Raw genomic sequence first — 25374 nt, 5'->3', positions numbered from 1 at the left:
TCCAATACTTGAGAATGGTTATCTCATATATTTTATCCCATTTTATGGTTAACAGTGGGAGGTTAGTGTGGTACCCTGCTTCATTATAGCCTGAAGTAGATCTGCAAGCCTAATTTTTACATCTTACATTTGAAATTGATAATGTATATTCTGATGTCAGAAAAAGAAAACTTAAATGTTTTTTGAAGTCAGGCTTCCTTGGAGGTCAAACTAATTAGAAATGTTTTTCAATTTCAGACTATATAGATGAACACATAGGTACATATCTATATTTATATCTACATCTATATCTAAATCTGCATCCTTATACTGTCTTTATATAATATAGTAGCAAGATTGTTTCTATATTCTAATCCTGATGTTTCATCAGGCATCATGCCCTAGTTGTACATAATACATCCAGGATTTCTACTTTAGAGTACAGGGTGGAAATATAGAGGTATTCTGTAGCATCAAGGTAAGAGTTTCCAGAGATGAGATACTCTTAACTTTTTAAAAGGATGGCAGTGGAGAGACTTTCTTTGTAATATTACCCTTAGAGTAACTTGGTGCTCACTGTCTTAACCAAGTTACTGAGCTGTACATTGGAGATATTGGGACAAACTAGCCTCCTTCTAATATGATGCAATGAAAAAGGACACAGTATCACTTTAGTGTCATTCTTGCCAAAATCTCATAAACCTAGTCATGAGGAAACATCAGACAAATCCTAATGGAGAGACATTTAATAACGGTCTGTACTCTTAAAAAATGTCAAGGTCACTAAACACGAAGAAAGGCTGTTCCAGATTAAAGGAGAAATAAATAGTTGATGTGACAACTAAAAGCAATGCGTGATTCTTGGTTGGATCCTGGATTATGAAAAATAATAGCTATAAATGACATTACTGTGATAATTTGTAAAACTTGAGTATAAACTGTGCAGTAGATAATATCATTGTGTTAATATTACATTTCCTCAATTTGATAACCACGCTTTGGTTATCAAAGACAGTGTTCTTGTTCTAAGGAAATATATATTGAAGTTTTTAGGGATAAAGAGGCAGGATGCTTCTAATTTACAAATAATTGAGGAAGTAATATGTATGCATTTATATATATAGAGAGGTAGATATAGACATAAAATGACAAAGCATATAGGGCAAAATATAAAAAATTGGTAAATCTGGGTAAAGGGCATGTGGGAGTTCCTTGTGCTATTATTGCAACTTTTCTTTAAGTTTAATATTATGCCAAGGCAAAAAGTTATAACCAGAAGAATAGAATTTAGATAAATATCTTTGGTTGTAAGAACAGAGATCCATCAAGCTACATAAAATAAAAAGATACACAAAAATCCTTTTGAGTTCAACTAACCCTAGTGTCATTGAGATTGTTGGAGCCTGAGTTTGCTTCCCTCGTATTTCAGATGCTATGTGATTTCTAATCTTTGTGTATTTGCTCTACTTTTTTCTATATACTGGATTGGCCTGCTTTCTCTTGGTTGCTGCACTTTAGAACTTGGGTTTGCTCCCCAAAATAGCTAACTTGGTGTGTTAGTTCAGATTCTTGAGAGAGAATCTGAATGATTTTTTGCTAGCTAATGGATTGCTTAAGCATATCTCAGGTATTTATTCCTAACTTGGTCAATAAATAATGAGGTAGGGCCGGTGAGAGGTGTTGGGTTGGGGTTATGGTAGCACACTCACATGGTATTTAGGGCTTACCCTCAAAAGCTGAGGGTATGACAAGTTCTCTAGAAGGTGTTATGGGAAGATCTGGCAATGAATCATGTCTCTTAGACCTGGCCAGCTTTGTCATACTGTTTTTTGGCTTTAGTTCCCTTTTAATAGACCCCAAAAATGCTTCTGTGAAGGATCTTTACATGGAATTAGATTGTCTAGCCTCCTTTCTGCAAAAACGAAGAAGAAATATTGTGTGATTTAGAGGCAAGGGAATTGAATTTTTTTTTTGCATAGCAAATGGTTAACTGTCTCTTTCTCCACCATTCATAACATTTAAGTCATGAATTTGTATTATGTTAACTTTTGTTTGTGAAACATAAAATCTCAGTTTGATATGTTAATATGATATATATGTTTATCTTGCTAAATTTATTTTGTATTTGAAAAAGTAATTGAAAATATAAAGTGTATTTCAAAAATTTTCAAGAAAATATTTTGAAGGTACATTAATAATATTAAAATGTTTTTCCTAAATGTGGTTGACTGATATTTTTGCATACTTACTTTGTGCCACACATTGTCCTGGGTATGGTCATTTAAATTATTTTATTGAATATGATTTTCACAATCCACTGAGGTAAGGATACTTTTCCTTAATTAGCAGAAGAGGAACTAGAGTGTCAAAGGGTCACTTGCTCAAAGTCACAACAGTGCATATATGGTGGGATTGGAATTAGAGTTGGAAAAGAGGTCTGCCAGACTCCAATGTATAACACTTAACTCTCTTAAATTGTGAGGAATCATGTGACCAAATACTTTCACATTTGAGATAATCAATTTTATGTTGCTCTTCTTGAAACCTGTCACTATTGCTCTTTTAATTCTAGGATACCCTTCTTATATTAAGAAGATTGGTTACATTTTTGGCTTTGCTCAGAGCACCGTTGCATGTGGTGTTGGTTTGGAGAGGATAGAAGTTAAGGAATGCTTGGAAGGAGATAAAGTCACTCCCTTGAGGGAGCGGGGGTCTATGATTCCGGGAGAGAGAACTGAAAAACTGTCGAAAGATATGCACTAATCAGTAATTTGCCATTTTTATGGATATTCATTCTCAAGTCATATTTACATATGTAGGTTAATTAGAGTATTTTAAAATGAGCAAGTAGATCAAAGAAAAAAAAATAAAAGGTTGGAAGAGACTTACTGAAATGAAAAATAATGAAGAGTAAAATACTGTGTGGATTTAAATGTAAAAGCAAAATATCACTTTAAAATGCCTTTCTCTTTTGTGCGGGAGAGAATGGGGAGAGTAGTGAATCTGTACTTCATATTGTCAGTTTTGCCTACCAGGTGAAATTTATTTTAAAGACTTTTAACTAGTTTGAAAGTAATTAGAGGACTGAAATAAACATATTGGTATATGTAATGTGATTGCTAGAATCTGTGACTACAAGGTAAAGGTGGAAAATGATAACTGTCTTTTTTATAGGGAATTATTTTAGTTTAATTGTGTATTTTTTGCCAAAGGGAAAGTAAATTAATAACACCCTTGAAATATTTTTCTTGAAGCTGGACATGAAAACAAAAATGATGGAAGCTAAATTTCATGAAGAAAAGCTTAAACTGCAACAGAAACATGATGCTGATGTTCAGAAGGTAGGATATATATCTCGTGTTTTAATTATATTGAACACTAAAAATATTCTAGGTTTTATGATGATCCATCCAGTTATCCATCCATTCTTCCAACCATCCATCCACTTATTTATGTACTTTATGACATTCTGTTATAAGTGGAATATGCTAAACTAATATCCCAGCAAAAGTTGATTTTTTAACTTTATTAGCTAAACATATGTGTTTATTTAAAACCTTATATTTACATTACCTTTTAGTCCTTCTTTAACTATTGCATTTAGGCTGACCTTCTTATAGTCTTTTATCTGCATTCTGTCATTACCTTTCATGAAAGTTGAAATAAGACATCAATGGTAAATACTAGAATTTGTTTTATTCTAATATTCTTTTGGTTTTCTGGTAATTAAATTTCTTTTTTAATTTAAAAAGGAGCTCTTGGACTTGTATGCATTTTAGTGCTGGCACTGACAATAAAGGCTTGTTTTTCAAGTAGCTCATTGGGATTGATGCTTTCTAATCTTTCAGCCTGTATTTTCAAATAAAACTTATTTTTTTTTCTTAGCTGGCACAGCAAAAATTGTTAATTATGGTTATCCTATATGGGATTTGGGTTGTTACTATATTTTAGTAATGATTAAAACATTTAGTGATAATAATGTATGTATGTGTTTTTTTGAAATACATGGAGGTTGATCCAAATGGAAACTTTGCATTTAATGTTTCAAAACTAAGCCTATGATTCTGCTTCCCAAAACTGAGTACTAGAGACAGAGGCAGGTAGTTGCAGTAGTTACAGCATCAGGATTATGTATCCAAGCTTTCTTAAAAGCTTAATATATATATATTAATATTTAGTAAAATACGTATTTGGCTTGTCCTTTAAAGCAATAAGGAGGAAACCACTGACTGGATATTAGAGAAAAAAAAACTGAACTCTCCTTTTCCAATTTCCTCTCCCCCATTCAGATATTACAGGCAAATTTTTTTTGCTCTTACTAGAGTTTTACTTTAGTTTAAATTGTTTAGATAATAGTTCTCTATCATAAGTATGTTAGAGAGTCAGTAATATAATTTCAATATAACATGTACAATTGAAATAGAGTCTATTGATGTATAAGATAAATGAATATAAAAATTTATTTGGAAAAATTACGGTGATGGAATTTGAAATAGGTTTCTTGGTATGTCTGTTACAAAGATTTACTCAAAGTAACATATTTAATAATAAAATTCTTTCCAGCAATTTCTCTTTAAAATAAATCCTGAAATTTATTTGCAGCAGACAGTGCAACTAGTTTGAAGTGCCAAGTAAAATATAAATAAAATCCTTTATGCTAGATTTGAAAAGTATATTCATCAGTTTACTCTTGTCTGGCATTTTCTAAGCATCAGGAATTGGCAAGGCGTAAAATTTAGAGTGTTTTACCTATTAGTATACATTCTTTTTCTTTTTTGCTTCTTTATGGCTATTATTATCCAGAGATGGGATCTTGCTATGTTGCTCAAGCTGGAGGAGGACAGTGGCTATTCACAGGCATGATCCATGATCATGGCTCACTTCAGCCTCGAATTCTTGGGCTCAAGTGATCTGTAAGCCTCCTGAGTAGCTGACTATATGCATGTGCTACTGTGCCCCGTTCTTTTCTGTTGTTCTTGTTAAGCTGACTTTTGGGTGTATGGGAAATATACCCCAGCCATAAGAAAAGTAGATATTCCTTTTTCCCCTTGATTAGCATTTTCTCTTACTTGCTATCTTTTTTACATTTTGGTTATTTCTGTAGTTTTTGTGAGTATAGATGTATTTTGAAGTATAAAATCACAAATTTTATTAAATGATTACATTTAAAACTTCTGACATAATATAAATTAACAATAGATTTTAATGCAATTTTTGACATATTTTGAGCTGATTTTTCTGATTCACAGTAGCAGAGCTAGATATAAAGGAGGCTGATTACATGTCATCTCCTCATGTATCTGGGAATTCTTTTACTGTGCACTAGGAGGATAGAACGGTGCTTGTGGGCGGATCCAGGGACATGCCCAGCTGAAGAATATTCTATCCCAGTGCAATGTGATGAATTATACTCTCCCAACCTGGCAAGTTTCTGATGACTTCTCTCTGCCACTTTATGACAGCTTAATTTCTGAATTATATTTTAGGGAATCACTGAAATTATTATTTATACTGTCCTTAAAAATTATTATACAAAAATCTCAGATAACGTATTTCTTTCAGATAATAATTATTCTTGTATATTTAATAATTTTCTTAATGCACTATAATATAATTTTTACAGTTTGGGGGGAAACCATTTATGAGATTAGCTGAGATAGACTTACAAAAATATTATGCTCATTGAAAAGTTATATGATTGGTTCTTTACGAGTTTCTATTAATGTATACCTACTAATTCACCATTCACTTATTATCTGCTGGAATTTGCTAGCAGATAAACAACAGTAGATATCGTAAGTATAAGAAAAATATGTGAAGAGAAATATTAGACACATACAATTTCAGCTATTTTTATGCTAATCTGAGAAAAAGAATCCCTAACTCCCTTTCAGGACAAAACACTTCTACCTAATTTACAAAACACTGACATTTGAGAATCAATTTAAAAAGTCACTTAAATCACTACAATGCCAATTTGCGGCAATATTCACTAGTCAAAAGGAGGAAAGTCTCACGATTTCAGGCAACTTGGAAGCTTCCAAGTGTGGCAGATCATATAGATTCTACCTCCTAGCTGCTGCAAGAGCAAAACGTGAACTTCTGACTAGGCTAGAATTATTAACATGGACATACACAAAAACACACGCATCTAACTGAAACAGCAGACAGTAAAGCTGTGGATAAGAGATACTACTTTGTGTGTGTGTGTGTGTGTGTGTGTGTGTGTGTGTGTGTGTTTATAATTTCACAGTGTAGTCATATTTGTTAAAATCACTTTTTCTATTTATGTTTTAGAATTAAATATATCAGGATTCAAAAAAGTGTCCTATATGTAAAGTAGTACAATATACTGAAATATTTTAAATTTATTTGCAGATTTTAGAAAGAAAGAATAATGAAATAGAAGAACTGAAAACTTTATACAGGAGTAAACAACATGAAACTGAAGAGACTATTAGAAAGCTTGAAAAGAAAGGTGATGTTGTGTTGTTACATACATCTTTTAATAACATTTCCATTTTATTTTAGTGATGTGGAGAAAAAAATTTGATTTCTGACCTTTTATAGTATGAGATAGGAATGTTTATGTGGGGTTTCATCAGTGGATATATTTATATAGGCTTCCATATGAAGGGGCAAAAACTGTGTTTATTTGTGTGTGTGTGTGTGTGTCTGTGTGTGTGTTTGTGTAGTGACAGTGATGGAGTAGTACTGGTGGTTGGTTTAGATACAGAGTTGGAAGAGTATGTTGCTTTCACTCCCTCTTCTTAACTCTAGCCTCATTGGGATACAGCTGCCATAGAGTATTGAGGGCAGTCATAGAATTAGGACTTACTGGCCTTCATGAGGAAGTCAAAGGAAATTATTCTTCTTTATCTAGTAAAATTCATTACATTAAGTATCTACTTTTATGTCTGATAGTATTTGCTGGTATTGTGATTGACAGAAAAAAATTAAAATGTATTTCCTATTTGCACTTTAATTAAGAAGGAAAAGAAAGCATGTAATCAAGTATTAAGTTGACTATGGACAGATGGAAAGTCCGGCATGAGGAGGTAACCACTTGAGCTAACTCTGACCGTAGTTGACTATGATTATGGGTCGAAACATCTACATCAATAGGTGGTCATGAGAGAGAGTGTTGAAAATATTGTTTTGGGAAAGGAACTTTTGTAAAATTTTGTGAAATTTTAAAGTCTTGGTTAGTTGGAGAGAAGAGTTGCAGGTACTGGGATGGGAATGCTGAAATAGGTAAGTTGTAGGAAGGGTACTTCTCAACTATTTAGCTAGAATGGATACCCCATGCATTAAGAGATAGATTTTAGGCCGGGCGCGGTGGCTTACGCCTGTAATCCCAGCACTTTGGGAGGCCGAGGCAGGTGGATCATGAGGTCAGGAGATCGAGACCGTCCTGGCTAACACAGTGAAACCCTGTCTCTACTAAAAATACAAAAAATTAGCTGGGCGTGGTGGCGGGCGCCTGTAGTCACAGCTACTCAGGAGGCTGAGGCGGGAGAATGGCATGAACCTGGGAGGTGGAGCTTGCAGTGAGCCGAGACCGTGCCACTGCACTCCAGCCTGGGCAACAGAGCAAGACTCCGTCTCAGAAAAAAAAAAAAAAAAGATTTTAAAATATTAAGATAGTTGACTTGGGGCTAGATTAAGTATGACCTTGAATTTTAGATTTAGAAGCTTGAACTTTGTCCTGTAGATGCTGGATGTAAAGAGCCAGGGAAGGATTTTGAGATGTGAGTTTTAGGACCTCATGTTTTGGGAGGAGTAGCCTGGTAATGGAGGGTGTATTGAACAGAGTAGGCCAATTCCAAGTCTGTTAGGCAGAGGCAGAATGGAGTGAAGGAGAGAGAATTCTACTTATTAGAAAACATAGGCTGTAATTCCAGCTCTGTTACCAGTGTCCGATGTATGATAGCAAGTTGTCTCTGGGTCTTGGTTTACTCATTATAAAATGGTGAGATCAGAATAAATAATATATAAAGTCCCTGCCAACTCAGAGATGTTCTGCTTCTGTGCTGCTGTAATTTTGCATGTTAAGGTGAGAAGGATTTCTGAATGATGGCGCTGGGAGTAGTTAGAATGGAACCGAAGAAAAGAAGAAGTTTTTAAGAGTGAATCATGATTTAGTGAATGAGAAGATCTAGGCAATGAATAAGAGAAAAGGAGAAGGGAAGGTTTTCATTTAGGATTTTCTGTATGGAACTTACTGGCTCTCCCCCAGATCAAACCTGAGTATATCTGAGTGAATGATAATGGCTTTGACAAATTAGGACAGCCATTACATAGATAAGTTAACCAATTAAATAAATATTTGTAGGTTCATTTCCACCCTTAAATGTTGGTAAAAGCAATTATAAATTCGTTTAGGTTTTTTCTCCAAATATTACCAGTGTCTAGAAAAATATTTTAAATTTATTTCCAGGTCTTCTTCTTTACCCTGATTCAAAATAGGTAATTCAAACATGCCTAAGGTTTAAAAATGATGAGGTTTTAAAAATAATGTTTCTAAAGGCATTTTGAATTGCAATCAGATCTTAGTTTAATTTTGGAAGTGTAAAGTAAAATATATTGTAGATGGTAAAGACCCACATTAGGTTAACTTGGATTCATCTCCTCTCCTTATTTGTTGTGTAGTTGAGATATAAGAGTGAAAACAATTTTTAGGGAAATGTTTACAAAAATTTTGCTGTCTCGAAGTAAATGAATAAAAACATATTTAGTAAGCTATGATAAGATTATATCCAATTAAAAATAGAGCTGAATTTATTTTACTATCCAGAAGAGATGAATATATTAAACACATTTTCACTTAAATCAGTGACTGTTTAAATAATTTTAGTAAAGAAGATAGAGAAATGATTTATAAGGCAAATATTTTATATAATTTAAAACCTATTTCATTTTAGTAACATAAACTTCAAAAATGATTTAAAAGTATCTAGCAGCAACAATATATTGAAAGGAGGGGTTCCTTTATTTATTCATTCAGTACACGTCTTTTTGAGCACTTGCCTGTGTGGCACTGTTATGCCCTGTGGATAAAAAGTTGAAATCTCTTTCTTCTCCGTGAACATAGTCTCATTAAAGAGGAAACAGGCAAGTAAATCACTATAATGTTAATAAATGATTTAATTGAGAAATACTCAAGGTTTCATGGGAATAAAGAGGAATTTCTTTCTGTCCCTGCAAGGGGAGAAATCTGGTTGAGTGAATCATGATTTAGTGATTCTTTATGACTGGTTCATAAAGAAGGTGTGATTTTTCAGTTGAGAGTCTAAGGATGAGTAGGAGTTTTTCAATAAGGGAGGGAAGGGCATTCTATGTAGATAGATGATCATATTTAGGCAGTGATATAAGAAAGAATATGAACTCAGGAATCTGCATATAGGTTGGTGTGTTTATAATAGTGGTTTAAAACATGCAAGTGGGAAGAGATATGGCCAGAACCATGAGGAACTCTTGTCCATGTCAGAGGCTTTGACCTATACTTATCTTTTAGATGAGAAGAGCTGTAGAACGTTTGTAAGCCTGGGCATAACTACCAGATTTGCACCAGTGAAAGGCCTCTTTACTTATTTAAATTTTTAAAATTTCAGTAGCTTTTAGGTTACAAGTGGTTTTGGTTACATGGATTCATTGTACAGTGGTGAAGTCTGAGACTTTGGTGTACCCATCACCCAAGTAATGTACATTGTATCCAATATGTAGTTTTTAGCCCACACCCCCTTTTCCACCCCCTGCTTCTCAATCTCCAAAGTCCATTATACCATTCTGTGTTCCTTTGCATACCCATAGCTCAGCTTCCACTTATAAGTAAAAACATATGGTATTTGGTTTTCCATTCCTGAGTTACTTCACTTAGAATAATGGTGAAAGATTTCCTCAAAGCAACAGAGGACTCCTTGGAGGGGAATGATGCTTGAGACCAATACACTGTTACAATTGTCTAGGGAGCCAGTAATGATGAATTTAACCAAGGCTGTCTGTGGTGGTAGAAATCGAGAAAAAGAGCAAGGAATAAAAGATATTTTAGAAGAAAGCATTGAGAAGACTTGGTGAAAAATTGAATTACCTACTAACTGGTGCACTAAATTTTATATCATCAAACTCTATGTACCTAGAATTGGTTTAACTATGTTTTCAAAATTTTTGACAGTTCAGACACTGATACGTGACTGTCAAGTTATCAGAGAGACTAAAGAAGACCAGATTGCAGAGCTGAAAAAGATATGTGAACAAAGTACGGAATCTCTAAATAATGACTGGGAAAAAAAGGTAAGCTACATAAAATACTAATGGAAAACATAAAAGTTTATGCTTCCAAGTAACATATTTAATTATAAAAGTAATAGATTTCACAGAATATACAGAAAAGTTTAAAAAATAACTAAAATTCCAGGCTGTTTAGAAATAGCTACTGTTCATGTTTTGGTATATTTTCTTCTGGAAGTCTATGGTCTATAAAATAGTTTTCATTTAGAAAATATTCTTTTGACTAGCTCTTGAATTTAATTAATGTTCTGGATTTCTTATCAGCCAACAGATTTTAAACAAAATTAGTTAAATAGCACTAAAACAGTTTTTGGAAATTAAGCCATTTTAATTTTGTATTTGGGCCATTGGAGTATTTCTTTCCTGAAATTTTAGAAAATATAATATGGACTAGAATTTATTGTATAAACTTATTTTATTTTTGATTGACATGTAATGATTTTACATTTTTTAGGGTACAGTGTGATATTTCAATACATAGATACTTTATATACTGATAAAATCAGAGTAATTAGCATTTCTATCACCTCAAACATTTATCAGTTCTTTTTGGTGAGGACATTCAAATTCCTCTCTTCTAACTTTTTGAAATATATAATACATTATTATAAACTATAATCACTCTACTGTGCATTAGAAAACCATAATTTATTTCTCCTATATTATTGTCCATTTTTATTATATTGTCCATTTTTATTATAAATAAACCATAATTTATTTCTCCTATATTAGTGTCCATTGTCCACTATGTATTAGTCCATTTTCATACTGTTATAAAGAACTGCCTGAGACTGGGTAATTTATAAAGGAAAGAGCTTTAATTGACTCACGGTTCAGCATGGCTGGGGAGGCCTCAGGAAACTTACAGTCATGGTAGGAGGTGAAGGGGAAGCAAGCCACCTTCTTCACAAGGCGGCAAGGAGAATGAACACAGGAGGAACTACCACACACTTATAAAACCATCGGATCTCATGAGAACTCACTCACTATCATGAGAACAGCTTGGGGGAACTGACCCCATGATGCAGTTACTTCCACCTGGTCTCTCCTTTGACACATAGGGATTATGGGGATTACAATTCAAGATGAGATTTTGGGTGGGGACACAGCCAAACCCTATCAATAACTGTAACATTATACCTGCTTTTTAACTTCTCTCTGTCCCCTTTCCTCCCTCTCCTCCCCTGCTTCTTGTAATCGCTATCTGTTCTCTACTTCTATGAGCTCAACTTTTAAAATTCCACGAGTGTGATTATGTATTTGTTTTTCTGCTCCCAGTTTATTCCACTGAACACAATGTCCTTCTAAGTTTGTCCATGTTGTTGCAAATGGCAGGATTTCATTCTTTGTTATGGATGAATAGTATTCCAGTGTGTGTGTGTGTGTGTGTGTGTGTATCTATCACATTTTCTTTATCCATTCATCCTTTGATGGGCACTTACATTGATTTCATATCTTGACTATTGTGAATAATGCTGCAGTAAATGTGGGAATGCAGATATCTCTGACATATTGATTTTATTTTCTTCAGATATATATCTAGTAGGGGGATTGTTAGATCATATGGTAGTTCCAGTTTTAATTTTTTGAGGAACCACACAGTTTTCCCTAATGGCTGTACTAATTTGTATTCCCTCTAGCAGTATATAAGGGTTCTCTTTTCTCTATATCCTCACCAACACTTGCTATCTTTCGACTTTTTAATAATAATCATGCTAACTACAGTTAGATGATATCTCATTGTAAGTTTGGTTTGCCTTTCCCTAATGATTAGTGAGGTTTAGCATTTTTCATCTACCTTTTGGCCATTTCTGTGTCTTCTTTTGAGAAATGTCTATTTAGGTCCTTGGCCTAAATAAGTCATTAGGTTATTTTTTAATCATCAGAATATTTGTTTTTTTGCTATTGAGTTGTTTGAGTTTCTTATATATTTTGGATATAAACCCCATATCAGATGTATAATTTGCAAATGTATTTTCCCATTCTGTAGGTTGCCTTTTCACTCTGTTGATTTTTTTTTCCATGCAGAAGCTTTTTAGTTTGATGTAATCCCATTTGTCTTTTTTTTTTTCCTTGCTTTTGTTGCCTGTGCTTTGAGGTGCTGTATAGAAATTGTTGCCTAGATTTATGTCATGGAGCTTTTCCTCTATGTTTTCTCCTAGTAGTTCCATAGTTTTGGTTCTTCCATTTAAGTCTTTCAATTCATTTTGCGTCGATTTTTGTGTATGGTGAGAAATACAGGTCTAATTTCATTGTTCTGCATGTGGATATCCAGTTTCCCCAGCACCATTTATTAAAGAGACTATACTTTCCCCATTGTATGTTCTTGGCATTTTTGTCAAAAATCAGCTGGCTGTAAATGTGTGGATTTTTTTTCTGGGTGCTTCATGCTGTTTTATTGGTCTGTGTGTCTGTTTTTATGCCAATAGCATACTGTTTTAGTTACTACAAGTTTGAAGTATATTTTCATGTCAGTTACTGTGATGCCTCCACCTTTGTTCTTCATGCTTAAGATTGCTTTGGCTACTCAGAATCTTCTGTGGTTACATGCAAATTTTAGGATCGCTTTTTCTATTTCTGTGAAAATGTCATTGATATTTTGATAGGGATTACATTGAATCTGTATATTGCTTTGAATATTATGGATACTTTATTTCATTTTTTAAAATAATTTCAGCATTTATTTTAGATTCAGAGGGTAGATGTGCAGGTGTGTTACATGGTTATATTGTGTGACATTGAGGTTTGGGATATGAATGATCCCATCATCCAAGTAGTGAGCATAGTGCCCAACAGTAGTTTTTCAGCCTTTGTCCCCCTCTTTCCTCTAGGAGTCCCCAGTGTCTATTGTTCCTGTTTTTATGTCCATATATACCAATGTTTAGCTCCCACTTGTAAGTGAGAACATGCTTGGTTTTCTATTTCTGCATTAATTTGCTTAGGATTATGGCCACCAGCTGCATCCACATTGCTGCGAAGGACATGATTTCATTTTTTTATGGCCATCTAGTATTCCATGGTGTATATGTACCACATTTTCTTTATCCAATCCACCATCGATGGACATCTAGGTTGATTCCATGTCTTTGCTGTTGTGGATAGCATGGCAATGAACATACAAGCGCATGTGCCTTTTTTGTAGAATGACTTATTTTCCTTTGGGTATATACCCAGTAATGGGATTGTTGGGTCAAATGGTAGTTGTTCTAAATTCCCTGAGAAATCTCCAAACTGCATTCCACAGTGGTTGAACTACTTTACGTTCCCACTAACAGTATATAAGCATTCCTTTTTCTCTGCAACCTTGCCAGCATCTGTTGTTTTTAATCTTTTAAATAACACCCATTTTTACTGGTGTGAGGTGGTATCTCATTGTGGTTTTGAATTGCACTTCTCTGATGACGTGTGATGTTGAACATTTTTTCGTATGTTTGTTGGCCACTTGTATGTCTTTTTTTGAGAATTGTTTGTTCATGTCCTTTGCCCACTTTTTAATGGGGTTATTTGTTTTTTGTTGTTGAATTGTTGAGTTCTTTATAGATTCTGGGTATTAGACCTTTGTCAGATACATAGTTTGCAAATATTTTCTCCCATTCTGTGAGTTATCTGTTTACTTGATAGTTTCTTTTGCTGTGCAAAAGTTCTTTATTTTAATTACGTCCCACTTGTCCATTTTTTATTTTTGTTGCAATTGCTTTTGGGGATTTAATCATAAATTCTTTACCACGGTCAATGTCTAGAATGGTACTTCCTAGGTTTTCTTCTAGGATTTTTATAGTTTTAAGTCTTATACTTAAGTCTTTAATCTATCCTGAGTTAATTTTTGTGTTTTGTGGGGTATCCAGTTTCATTCTTCTGCATATGACTAGCCAGTTATCTCATCCCATTTATTGGATAAGGGGTCCTTTCTCCATTTTTTTGGTCAACTTTGTCAAAGATCAGATGGTTGTAGGTGTGCATCATTATTTCTGGGTTCTCTCTTCTGTTTCATCGGTCTATGTGTCTGTTTTTATGCTAGTACCATGTGGTTTTGGTTATTGTAGCCTTATAACATAGTTTTAAGTTGGGTAATGTGATTCCCACTGGCCTTGTTCTTTTGTTTTATTTTGGTTTTGAGACAGGGTCTTGCTCTGTCACCCAGTCTGGAGTGCAATGGCACCATAACAGCTCACCACAGCCTTGAGCTCCTGGGCTCAAGTGATCCTCCTGCCTCAGTCTCCTGAGTAGCTGGGACTACAGGTGTGCATTACCACACCTGGCTAATTTAAAACTTTTTTTTGTAGAGGTGGGGTCTCACTATGTTGCCCAGGCTTGTCTTGAACTCCTGACCTCAAGCGATCCTCCTGCCTCAGCCTCCCAGTAGTGCTGAGATTACAGGAGTCAGGCACCATGCCTGACTTATTCTTCTTGCTTAGGATTGCTTTAACTATTCAGGCTCTTTTTTGGTTCCATATGAATCTTAGAATCTTTTTTCTAATTCTGTAAAAAATGACATTGGTAATTTGATAGGATAGTGTTGAATCTATAGATTGCTTTTTAGTTGGTTCTTTTCTAGTTTTTATTTTGTTATTTCTAGTCATGTGGTTTTTCTTTCTCACATTTTGGTTTTATCTTTTCTATAAATTTGGCATATTTTTGTATTTACTTCAATGACATTGTGTACCTAGCAAGTCCCCTGCTTTCCTTTGTCTGAATTCCCTAATTTCATATATTCTAGTTTAAATTGTCAGGTATTTGAAGAGAAGAGGCTTCTGCCACTTACAAGGGTACGTCTTTTTCTTTCTGCTGGATTAGTAAAGCTTTTTTTTCTAGTTATACAATAAATAGTGGATGTGTAAATACGTAAACCTGCTTGAAGTTTTTTTTTTTGTTTTTTTTAGAGTCTTGCCCTGTCACCTAGGCTGGAGAGCAGTGGTGCAATCTTAGCTCACTGCAACCTTTGCCTCCTGGATTCAAGCTCTTCTCATGCCTCAGCCTCCCAAGTAGCTGGAATAACAGGTGTGGCCACCACTGCCTGGCTAATTTTTGTAGTTTTTGTAGATATGGGGTTTTTCCATGTTGGCCAGGCTGGTATCGAACTCCTGGCCTCAAGTGATCCTTCCGCCTTGGCCTCCCAAAGGGCTGGGATTACAGGTGTGAGCCACTGTACCTGCCCCCTCACTGAAGGCTGTGTGTGTGTGTGTGTGTGTGTGTGTGTGTGTGTGTGTAGAGTAATTTTATGTAAATCTGGGCTGAGATGAAAACTGAGTACAAGCAGGACAGGCACCAAAATTAATAAGCACATGTTAGATACACTTTGTTATTTATGTAGTCATTCATTCAACAATTATTATGTATTCTACATGGACAAGGTGATATATGTATGTGTGTGTGTATATTCCCTAATAGAAATATGCATCCTATGTCTCTCACCTTAAGTCCCAGTTATTCAACTACCTATTTAAAATCTCTCCTTGGTCTGAATTCCATCATTGTCCTTAAACTTCATCTTCTTCGTTTGTTGCTAAAATGGGTATTTCCTTTTTCCCTATCCCATGGAGAATACCTATCCCATGGAGATGCCTATCCCATGGAGGGATATACCTACCCAGTAGGGTATTCTCTATGGGATAGGGATCAACTCAGCTACTTAAAGACTCTTCTTTTTGCTTCAGCTCACACATCTAATGCCTTGCCAAGTTCTGTTAATTATTCATCTTTTGAATGTATCTACCACTCTTCCTTCCTTAGTTCAGGAGACCCCTGTCTCTTGCCTAGATCACCTGTAACTGGCCTCTACCTCCAGTCTGTCCGTCGTCATTCCATGTCCCACAATACAGCCAAATTGGTCTTTCACAAACACAAATCTGGTTGACCTCACAATCATGTTTAAATCACTCTAGTGTTTCCCATTGTCCTAGTGGCTCCCATTGTTTCCTTAGTTCTTAGGACTTACAAGGCTTTTCATGATAAAGACTCTGGTGATCTTTCAAGCCTCATCTTTTCTCACAATTCTTCTTCCTGTCTTGACTTTTGCCCCAGCTGTCAACACGTTTTGCTGTTCTGTGGGCCTTTAAAAAATATTGAGTTATGATTTACATGCCATAAAATTCACCTTCTTAAAGTATACAATTCATTGGTTTTTTTGATGTATTCACAAAGTTGTGCAACTTCCACCACAATATAATTTACAGACCATTTTCATTGCCCTAGAAAGAAACCTTTATCCATCAGCAGTCAGTTACCACTCCCCACACCCCAGGCTCTTCAACCATCAATCTACTGTTTGTCTTTATAGATTTGCCTATTCTAGATATCTCATATAAATACAATAATATAATATGTGGCATTTTGTGACTGGCTTCTTTCACTTACCGTAATGTTTTTAAGTTTCACCCTCACTGTAGCATGAATCAATAGTTCAATCAGTTTTATGGTCAAATAATATTGCGTTGTATGGATAGACCACATTTTGCCTATCCATTCATCAGTTGATAGACATTTGAGTTGACTCCACTTTTTGGATATCGTGAATAATGTTGCTGTGAACATTTGTGTGTGTTTTTACATTCTGTTAGGTGTAGTCCTAGGAGTAGGATTCCTGGGTTATGTGGTAACTCTGTGTATCTTTTTGATAAATTTTTTGAGGAACTGCCAAAGTGTTTTCCACAGTGGCTGCGCTATTGACCTGTGGGGTTTTGTAATACTTTTCCCTTTATTTGGGACAGATTTCTGTTGCCTCTGGGTCTCCTCTGGCATGAGCCAACTATATGGTTAAAGACGAATATGTAGGATGCTGGGAAGGGCATTGGTGTCTCCTGTACCCATTATCAAACTCTGGGTAAAAATTCTTCTTGAGAATTCCTATGGATCAACTCATTGTTATGTCCTATGGTTTCATAAACTCCAGCAAGATTTGTATCCTATAGCCTAATAATATTTGCTACTAAGATAGTTTATCCCTTAAAGGAACGTTTGCCCTTTAAAGCCTCCTAGACTGAGTGACCTGGACTCCAATTCATTGTTAGGTTTGGGAAAGTGCTCACTGATGCATTATGCCTGGTACATAGCAGGTACTAATAAAATTTGTTGAATGAATACATTTTAATCACCTCTGGTTAGACTATGAGACCAGATGCCTATCTAGTCCTCAAACACATCAGCCAAGTAATAGCATAGTTGTTTTTGCCAGTGCCATTTTTACCCTTGTAGTCTCAACTACAAATTCCTTGGATGAGTGTTGTAGACTGACTTACAGCCACCCCTCCGACAGCGACGGTCCCTTTATAAAACAACTGTGGAAGACACATGAGAAACCACTAAGTTTTGATGGGCTATTAGATTTTTGACATTCGGCAGGCATATGTTCTAGGGGCTTTGGGAGACCTTAAACATGAGGAAACCACTACATCATATAATTGCTCCTGTAAGTACAACTGTAAAATTCTAAGTGACTCCTTTAGAGCCCATTATCTGAGTTACTATCATGTCACTCGACAGCTGTGAAGGAGCACTGAGATTTGGGTGCATTGTACCAGCTATGTGACTCACTTTTGAACAACAGACCTAATACTGCTTTACAATGTTTATTTCAGCAAAACTAAAAATTAGATACATCAGGGATTTCGGGGACCACTTACAAATAATCAAAACTGTGTATGTTAAACTTGCAAAATCCAGGAGTCTTCTGTATGGCTATTACTGAGCATCCTCATTCTTCCTATTCAGCTAGAAACTAGAAGAAGCGTTCTTGAGACCTTTACCAGTACAATTATCATAATTATTGCCTGCATTCTGCCCTAGCTTCCATCTCTCACAGGTTTTCCCTGTCCTTCCAGTATCTTTCTAGTCAAATAAGAGTTCACACTGCCTCTATTTGTCCTTTCTCTCTTCCCTATTTATAGGTAGTGAATCAAATGTATTATTTGGGGCCAGGCACGGTGGCTCACACCTGTAATCCCAGCACTTTGGGAGGCTGAGGCGGGTGGATCACTTGAGGGTAGGAGTTCGAGACCAAGCTGACCAACATGGTGAAACCCCGGCTCTACTAAAAATATAAAAAATTAGCCAGATGTTTTGGCGGCTGCCTTTGATCCCAGCTACTTGGGAGGCTGAGGCAGGAGAATCACGTGAACCTGGGAGGCGGAGGTTGCACTGAGCCGAGATTGCACCACTGCACTCCAGCCTGGGTGACAGAGTGAGACTCCATCTCAAAACAAAAACAAAAACAAAAAGCCAAATATATCATTTGGACTGTTTGGACTCCTGGTCTCTTCTCCTATTGGGTAGGTGTGGGGTTGGATGCAGGGAATGGAAGTTAGACTCGGAGTTGTACCCCCATTAAGATAAGTGAAGGAATGCCCACAGGGCTGGGAGCACAGATTTTCAACCCCTTTTGGAAGATGTCCATTGAAGCTTGTCTGGACCTCCTGTATTTGCCTTTGTTTTCCTTACCTTAGTTTGTGTAGAAATTTTAAAAGCTCATCCATTTAAACAGTATATACATAATGATTTTTATAAATAAAGACCTCTGTACATGTAGTATACAATTCTGCTTAGTCATCCTACCCATATTGTTTGACTGATAAATGTGATCTTTTTGTCTGTTTTTGTATAGATTAGGGAATGACTAGAAGTAATTTCTTGTTTGAGGTGCAGGTAGGGGAGAAAGCAGTTTTTAACATTACTGGTGTACAAAATTCCGTGCAAATAGGATGAATAATGGGGACAATGGGACAATATTCCTAATTAGTTACAATATTATAATGTTTCTGTTTTCTCATTTCAGACTAATACTAGTAATGTTCACTTGTATTATCTGCCTGATTTATTTACCATTTCTACCTGAGGCAGATAATTCCTTTTAATATTTGTTCATCCATTAAAATTTTCAATTCAGGAAAGTAAAGGAAAAATTAAGTGTTTCTTGATCCTGCTTTTTATATGATATCTTTACCTTGAATGTTTACTGGTGGTTTTTTGTATCTTTTGGTGTTCAGGTCATCATATATATAAATAGAGGAATATAGAAACCATTTTTTCCGCTGAATTACAAAATAGTCAATTCCATAGTAGTAAAAGAGTCAACTCTTGATTTCCTGATGTAGCTTCACAATGCTGTAGCAGAAATGGAACAGGAAAAGTTTGATCTTCAAAAGCAACACACTGAAAACATTCAAGAATTGCTTGAGGATACAAATGTGCGTCTGAATAAAATGGAGAGTGAATACATGGCGCAAACACAGTCCACAGTGAGTCTTTAAACCTGTTCTTGACATCTTAGAACCTGTCTTCTCAATTTCCATGTCCTCATGTTTCCCTGATGTGCACAGTGTAGAAAGAAGTGTGTTACAGAATCAAAAGAAAAACTTTACCTTCCTACTCCATACAGATTTATGTGTGGCCATGGACAGACCCTTGAAGTCTGTGAGGGATTTGACTCTAGTGTGTTTAATGCTGCTTTTTATTTATTATTATTATTATTTTTACTTTTATTTTTTGAGACGGAGTCTCACCCTGTCACCCAGGCTGGAGTGCAACGGCATGGCCTTGGCTCACTGCAACCTCCGCCTCCTGGGTTCAAACTATCCTCCTGAGTAGCTGGGATTACAGGTGCCCGCCACCATGCCCAGCTATTTTTTGTATTTTTAGTAGACAGGGGGTTTCACCATGTTGGCCAGGCTGGTCTCGAACTCCTGACCTTGTGATCCACCCTCCTTGGCCTCCCAAAGTGCTGGGATTACAGGTGTGAGCCCCTGTACCTAGTCTTATTTATTATTTTTTAACCCTCAGAAGCCTTTATAAATCTTTTTTCTTCTTGTTTTTTTTTCCATTGACTTTCAGTTCAGAGATAATCTCTTTTCTTTTTTTTTTTTCCTTTGAGACAGGGTCTTGCTCTGTTGCCCAGGCTGGAGTACAGTGGCTTAGTCTCAGCTCACTGCAACCTCTGCCTCCCAGGCTCAAGCGATTCTTGTGCCTAAGCCTCCCAAGTAGCTGGTACTACAGGTGCATGCCACAGCATCCGATTAATTTTTATATTTTTAGTAGAGACAGGGTTCCGCCATGTTGGCCAGGCTGGTCTTGAACTCCTGGACTCAAGCGATCTGCCCGCGTTGGCCTCCCAAAGTGTTGGGATTACAGTCATGATCAACCACGCCTGGCCATTTCTTTTCTATCTTTTTTTGTTTGTTTCATTTTTTTTTAAATGGAAGACTTGATTGTTTTTCTGAAAATAATGCTAATGTGAAGGAAATCAAAGAGGGAGATTGGAGTAGTGTGACCACTCTGACCAGTGTTCTTAATAGATCATATTAACTCGGGAACCAGACATAGACATCACATGGGTAAGCCCAAAATGGTCCTTACTGAAGTAATTCAGGAAGGAGGTCACCACAGTCAGGCTACACAGCAGAGAGACCTGTGACACTGGTCAGGATGAGATAGAGGATCTCCCAAAGAGAATCTTCATTGATTATATATATATATGGCTGTGGAGTCTAGGTCTGGGGAAGTGACTGTCTTCAGCTCTTTAGGAACCTGCCTTACATCTCAAGATCCATAAGCCTGGAACAGTTTTGCTGGAAGGCTACTCTGCATGTGGCTCAGAGCTCCTCATGTCCGTGTTCAGTGCATCGCATCAGTCTTGTTACTGATACAAATGGTCCCCTACTTAACGATGGTTTGACTTACAATTTTTTGACTTTATGTTGGTGCAAAGGTAAGATGCATTCAGTAGAATACCAGATGCTCCTCAATTTACTATGGGCTTATTTCCAAAAATGGTTGCATGGGTACTTAAAGTGATGCATATTGCTTTTGCACTGTCGTAAAGTCAAAAAGTCATGTAAGTCAAGCCATTGTAAGCTGGGGACCATCCATCTGTACATTCATTCTGTTCTTCACTTTCAATACAGTATTCAGTAAATTACATGAAATACCCTATACTTCATTATAAAATAGGCTTTGTGTTAGATGATTTTGCCCATCTGTATGCTAAAGTAAATGTTCTGAACACATCTAAGATAGGCCAGGCTAAGCTATGATGTTTGGTAGGTTAGGTGTATTAAATGCATTTTTGAATTAATGATATTTGAAACTTAATGATAGGTTTATTGGGACATGATCTCATTTTAAGTCAAGGAGCATCTGTATGTAATATGACCTCATAGAATGGTCAAGTGTTGTATCCCAGGCATGAACTCTGTCTCATTTACCATTCACAACCTCCCCAGGCCAGCCTGGCTTGGTCCAAGTACTTTCTTGAATTTAAAGCTGTGGAATTTAAACAAGAGTTGTTACGCAGGCGTATGACACATATATCTTAGAGTGTGTTACCTTGCACCCTTGGACCAGCACTAAGGTCTACCTCACATTGAAAAAGAAATGAGAAGTGGTATGCACAGTTGTTTGGAACCTGGACTTTAGGGTCAGACAGTTGTGGGTTCAAATTCCAACTCCTTAATAGCTTGAGTGTCATGTAAGCTCTTCAGATGTTAATTGTTCTTATTTGTGGAATAGAATAACAGTAGTACAATATAATGTAAGTTGTTGGAAATATTAATATACATAAATTAAGTATATAATATATACATATATTAATATACATAAAATATTATATTAATATACACAATAATAAACACTCAGATCATTGTTAATATTATGTTCAAAAATGAAACATACAAGAATGACAATCAAGAGAGACACACAAACGAAAAAGAAGGACTCAGTTTAAGAAGTTCCCAGCACTTTGGGAGACTGAGGTAGTTAGATTGATTGAGCCCAGGAATTCAAGACCATCCAGGGTAACATGGTGAGACCATGTCTCTTAAAAAAAAAAAAAATTAGCTAGGCCCGGGGGGGTGTGCTTGTAGTCCCAGTTAGTTGGGAGGCTGAGGCAGGAGGATTACTTGAGCCCATTAGGTCAAGGTTGCAGTGAGGTGTGATTGTGCTACTGGATGCCAGCTTGGGCAATGGATCCAAAAAAAAGAAAAAATTAACACATTTGTTTGATGAAGAGTGGAAAATTGTTTGGGCCTCCATTCCCTTCCATGGAAATAATAGGAATAGGGTAAAGAAAAAGGTGTAAGCCCTGATGGACAAAGAGAATAAGAGAGCAATACAATTTTTGGAGTTGGAAAGGCAATGGATTTGTTGAAATTGATCTAGCAGGCTCAAGAAAGCATAACCCTAAATCAGCAGTGAAGGAACCTGAGAAGCAAGATGAATTACACCATGGGAGCTCCAGAGGCTCCAGGCATCTCTGGAAGAGGGCTGATAAGTGGCCCTTCAACACATAAATTGCTAGAAGGCCTATTTAAGAGGCAGCTAGATGTTTAATTGGAGTGTTAGGTACAAGGGGTTTTTTTATACTCTTCTTTGTAATTTTGTAGATATTTGATAATACGACTTTTTAAAAATAATAAAATAAAAAATGACCAAATCTTTATATCTTCTCCCCCATTTTGTGAAGCATGGGATTGTCTCTTCTACAACTCAGCAGAAGACACTAGGTTATTTTCTGGAGAGAATACAACAGTCTCTGGATTGGGAGACTTCAGGCACAGTTGAGGTTTTTACCATGGCAACTGGCCAAGTGTGGTGAACAGATCCCTGGGAGTCCTTGAGGCTCTAGAATCCTTTGAGTGTCCAAATTGTAAAACACTGACATCCTCTCCCCATTCCCCTACCCTGAAGAAAAAACAACAAAAAATTAAGTCACTAATATGAGAAAAAATGCGAAATACCTTTAGGTTTCTTTATCTCAATATCCATTTCCAGAAGACACTGGAGCCACATCTATTAATAAAAAATAAACATTAGAAAAAAATGTGACCCCACTTGGTTTTCAAGTATGAAGATCTGAGATGAGCAGTTTTGAACATCATCTCTTTGATTTTTATATATGTAAATATCACTATAATGTCTCTAGTTATGGACTTTTTGGCATTATTTTGAGCCCTTTAAATTTGAGTTTTTTAATTTAGTTCTGAGTATTTACAATCATTATTTCTTTGAAAAGATCTATCCCTTCTACCTCTTAGGTCTTATGCTATATTTTCTATCTCTTTGTATTTTCTTCCTATTCTTTATTTCTATGATAGTTTCTCATTCTGTTTTTACTCTCATCAGTTAATTCTTTGGTAGAGTTACTCCTGCTTAGGGATCTATTACTTTTTATTTCAGTGATTATTTTTTATACCTAGTATTTTCATTTGACTCTTTATTTATTTACTTTTTTGAGATGAAGTTTCACTCTGTCGCCCAGATGTAGTGCAGTGGCACAATCTCAGCTCACTGCAGCCTCCACCTCCTGGCTTCAATCGGTTCTCCTGCCTCAACCTCCAGAGTAGCTGAGATTACAGGTGTGTGCCACCATGGCCCAGCTGATTTTTGTATTTTTAGTAGAGATGGAGTTTTGCCATGTTGGCCAGGCTGGTCTCAAACTCCTGACCTCAGGTGATCCACCCACCTTGGCCTCCCAAAGTGCTGTGATTACAGGTGTGCACCACTGCAGCTGGCCTCATTTGACTCTTTATTAATTAAGCTTATTTAAAATTCTTAGTTCATCTGTTCTCATAATTTATCTTCAGAATGTTATATAAGTCATAATGTGCTGTGTATTATGAATGATAATATAGGTGATAATATTATTATATATATGCAAGTACTGCTGACTTTCTTTCATAGTGTTTTTTTTGAGGTATCTAGATATTTTGGACTGTGAGCCCATGTCCCTTGGGTTTATAAGTTACTCTTACGCATATTGGGGAAAACCTGGAAGACTAGGTCCTTGTTTTGGTCAATTAGAGTCTGTTCAAGTAGCAAGGATGGGGTGAACCTCAGGGAGAGATCTCCATAATACCACAGGACCACTGTTGAACTCTCCTTTGCAAATTCCCATGTGCGATCAGCAAGCCTTGTAATCCTAAGGGAGAGAAATACAACTTTGGAGAGCGACAGTCTCCTAGATTGTAATACATCAGCTGATAGGATTTGGAGGGAAAGATGGTCTTTTGATGAAAGAAGTTCTTATTTTAACTTAGTCAAATGTATAAGTCTTTTACACTTAGTGCTTTTTTGGCCTGGCGTGGTGGCTCTCCCCTGTAATCCCAATATTTTGGGAGGCCGAGGTGGGCGAATCACCTGAGGCCAGGAGTTCGAGATCAGCCTGGCCAACATGGAGAAACCCCATCTATACTAAAAATACAGAATTAGCTGGGCTTGGTGATGCGTACCTGTAATCCCAGCTACTCAGAAGGCTGAGGCAGGAGAATTGTCTGAACCCAGGAGACAGAGGTTACAGTGAGCCGAGATCACGCCACTGCACTCCAGCCTAGGCAACAGAGCGAGACTCTGTCTCAAAAATAAAAAAAACAAAATAGTGCTTTTTATGTCTTGTTAAACAAATCTGTCTGTATTGTAAGTGCAAGAAGGTTCGCCTATATATTCTATGAAAAACTTTAAAGTTTTGCCTTTAACATTGAGGCCTTAATCCTTCTGGAGTTAGTTTTTGTGACTAATGCAGGATAAGAGATTTAATTTTGTTTTTTTCTATGTGGATAACTTTTTTTTCCCAGCTTTACTTTAGAGTAATTCCTCCTTCCTTCATTGATCTGTCATGCCTGCTCTTATATATTGAACTTCTATATATGTGAACATTGGATAATTTCTCTGGCTCTGCAATGATTATACTGTCATCTCTATTACAGCTTCATAATTACTCTTGATGTCTGATAAGGAAGTCTTCCTTCCTTGTTCATCAGAAGAGTCTTGGCCATTCTGGGCCCTTTCCTTTTACAAATACAGTCAGCTGTCTGGATCTATCGGTTCCTCATTTGTGATTCAACCAACCACACATAAAAATATTCAAAAAAATAAAAAAAAAAACAAAAATGATACAACAATAGAAATAATACAAATAAAAGTACTGCATAACAGCTATTTATGTAGCACTTACATTGTATTAGACATATTGTAGGTAATCTGGATATGATTTAAAATATACAGCAGGGGGTGTATAGGGTATATGCAAGTACTATGTCATTTGACATAAGGGACTTGAGCATCTCTGGATTTTGGTATTGTAGGGGGTCCTGCAATTAGTTTCCCACAGATGGCAAGGGATGA

At 36.2% G+C, this 25374-nt stretch overlaps 1 protein-coding gene across 20 annotated transcripts in view; it reads left to right on the top strand.

Annotated features, from left to right (window-relative positions):
• The window catches only part of CEP112 (centrosomal protein 112), a 556597-nt gene that overhangs the window by 118899 nt on the left and 412324 nt on the right, over nucleotides 1–25374 (top strand). For 18 of the 20 annotated variants that reach the window (XR_007065281.1, XR_007065280.1, XR_007065282.1 and 15 more), the window contains 4 exons: nucleotides 3234–3320; nucleotides 6358–6457; nucleotides 10154–10272; nucleotides 19356–19499. Coding sequence is in view for 17 of the 20 variants with exons in the window: in NM_001353128.2 (NP_001340057.1) it covers nucleotides 3234–3320; nucleotides 6358–6457; nucleotides 10154–10272; nucleotides 19356–19499 (450 nt within the window). In the remaining 3 variants the exon portion in view is untranslated. Of the gene's footprint in view, nucleotides 1–3233; nucleotides 3321–6357; nucleotides 6458–10153; nucleotides 10273–19353; nucleotides 19500–25374 lie in introns of those variants that run through there. The other 2 variants (XM_005257125.4, XM_011524466.3) reach the window with 2 other exon arrangements.

Source organism: Homo sapiens, chromosome 17 (genome assembly GCF_000001405.40).
Source record: "Homo sapiens chromosome 17, GRCh38.p14 Primary Assembly".
In the NCBI taxonomy this organism is placed as follows: Eukaryota; Metazoa; Chordata; class Mammalia; order Primates; family Hominidae; genus Homo; species Homo sapiens.
This window is presented reverse-complemented; position numbering and strand designations above follow the sequence as displayed.